We start from the raw sequence: 2,221 nt of genomic DNA on the forward strand, positions 1-2,221 counted from the left end.
ATTCACATGGAGGTGCAAATGACTAACATCAGGCCCTTTCCTGAAAGTGAAATTTTATGGGACAGAGGAAGGAAATAAATGTTTCCTCCTATTTCCTTTTTTATTTTTGCATCTTCCATGAGATCTGAAAACATTTCTTTCTAAAAGCGTTTCTAATTATTAACCTTTCTATTATGGAAACAATTAACAAAAGAAAGAAATAATATGTATTACTCTTATTCCCACAAGGCAAAGATAACTTCTGCTGACTTGGTGAATTTATTTTCAGTTTTAAGGTTTGACACTGGAAGTATAGAATAAATTTATAAGACAAAACATTTGGAAACCGTATTAATTTTTAAACTCTAGTATATTAAATATTCATTGTTTTGAATTTAGCAAATGCATAAAAACACAACAAGACAATTTAAAAAAATCATCCCAAATCCCAGCACTTAGAGATAGACATAATTATATTTTGCTGTTTTGCTTTCCATTTGTCCCTGTGCATACACAGATGCACACATATTTTTATGAAAATTAGAATCATAGTGTATATAACTATTTTGTAACTTGCCTTTTTTTCTGCTAAGGAGTATTTCATGACTATTGCTCCATTTACTAAATTTTTTTAATACAAACTGTTTTAAACAGTTGCATATTATTTTGTTGTGTGAATGTATTATCATGTAACCAATTAGAAAGGGACATTTAAAAAATTGCAAGGAAAGAAGTTATTTTCTAATACCCTTAAGCAATTTGAAAATAACCATTTAAATCCAAACAATTATAAAATTCTTATTTGTCTACAAGAGAAGATTCAATAAAGCAACTGAAGTAGGAGACAATAAAAATAAAAATAAAACAAAGCAAAATAAAAAATAATAAGAAAAGAAAAGAAAGCAAAACAAAAACACAGCACAATCTTATAATTTTTCAGCTTTAGTCTATAATTTAGTTTTCTGTTAACTCAAATGAATCTTCCTAGTAAGACTAAACCAGAGGGGCTTCCATGTTAGCATTTATCCTACAAGGACTCTTTCACTCGCGTCCGTGTGAAGAGACCACCCTTTGTGTCAGCTTCGTGTCAGCAACAAGGCTGTTTATTTCACCTGGGTGCAGGCGGGCTGAGTCCGAAAAGAGAGTCAGCGAAGGGAGATAGGGGTGGGGCCGTTTTATAGGATTTGGGTAGGTAAAGGAAAATTACAGTCAAAGGGGGTTGTTCTCTGGCGGGCAGGGGTCAGGGGTCACGAGGTGCTCAGTGGGGGAGCTTTCTGAGCCAGGATGAGCCAGGAGAAGGAATTTCACAAGGTAATGTCATCAGTTAAGGCAAGGACCGGCCATTTTCACTTCTTTTGTGGTGGAATGTCATCAGTTAAGGCAGGAACAGGCCATTTAAATTTCACTTCTTTTGTGATTCTTCAGTTACTTCAGGCCATCTGGATGTATATGTGCAGGTCACAGGGGATATGATGGCTTAGCTTGGGCTCAGAGGCCTGACAGACTCCAACTCAATCTGCTCCAAACCCAAACTGGTTTCATTTTGCTCCCCTATCTCATTAGGAATGTTTCTCCCTTTCCTTCAGTTGCCTTATTCTAAAACCTCAACTCGGGCTCCCTTGGTTCCTTCCTCACCCCCACCCGATCCAGTGTATTGAACCAAGTTACTAATGTATCAATTCCTTACCTTCCAGTCTTTCAAACCACCCCTCTCCTTCACCATCACTGTCACTCCTTGGGTGTTCCCTCCTCATTTCCTTATTTTTATTATGTTTATTAAGATGGAGTCTCGCTCTGTCACCCAGGCTGGAGGGCAGTGGCACGATCTCAGCTCACTGCAACCTCCGCCTCCCGGTTTCAAGCGATTCTCCTGCCTCAGCATCCTGAGTAGCTGGGATTACAGGCGCGCCGCACCATGCCTGGCTAAATTTTGTATATTTAGTAGAGATGAGGTTTTGCCATGTTTGCCAGGCTGGTCTCAAACTCCTGACCTCAGGTGATCCACCCACCTAGGTCTCCCAAAGTGCTAGTATTACAGACATGAGCCACCATGCCAGGCCTTCCATTTTGTTTTTAAATTTTTAAATTTTTTTATTTTTTGTAGAGATGGGATCTCACTATATTGCCCAGGCTGGTCTTGAACTCCTGGGCTCAAGCAGACCTCCCTCTTTGGCCTCCTAAAGTGCTGGGATTACAGGTGTAAGCCATTACACCCAGCTTCCAGTATTTTGAATTTACTCTA

The 2,221-nt window shown here is 38.9% G+C and overlaps 1 annotated feature.

Annotated features, from left to right (window-relative positions):
• Positions 745-1,602: an enhancer, noted in NCBI's record as "OCT4-NANOG-H3K27ac hESC enhancer chr8:33483387-33484244 (GRCh37/hg19 assembly coordinates)". NCBI's record gives its function as "activates a minimal SCP1, AML or CMV promoter by ChIP-STARR-seq in primed H9 embryonic stem cells {active_cell/tissue: H9 hESC(primed)}" and the evidence as "EXISTENCE:reporter gene assay evidence [ECO:0000049][PMID:30033119]".

The sequence above is a fragment of the Homo sapiens genome, chromosome 8, assembly GCF_000001405.40.
Source record: "Homo sapiens chromosome 8, GRCh38.p14 Primary Assembly".
In the NCBI taxonomy this organism is placed as follows: domain Eukaryota; kingdom Metazoa; phylum Chordata; class Mammalia; order Primates; family Hominidae; genus Homo; species Homo sapiens.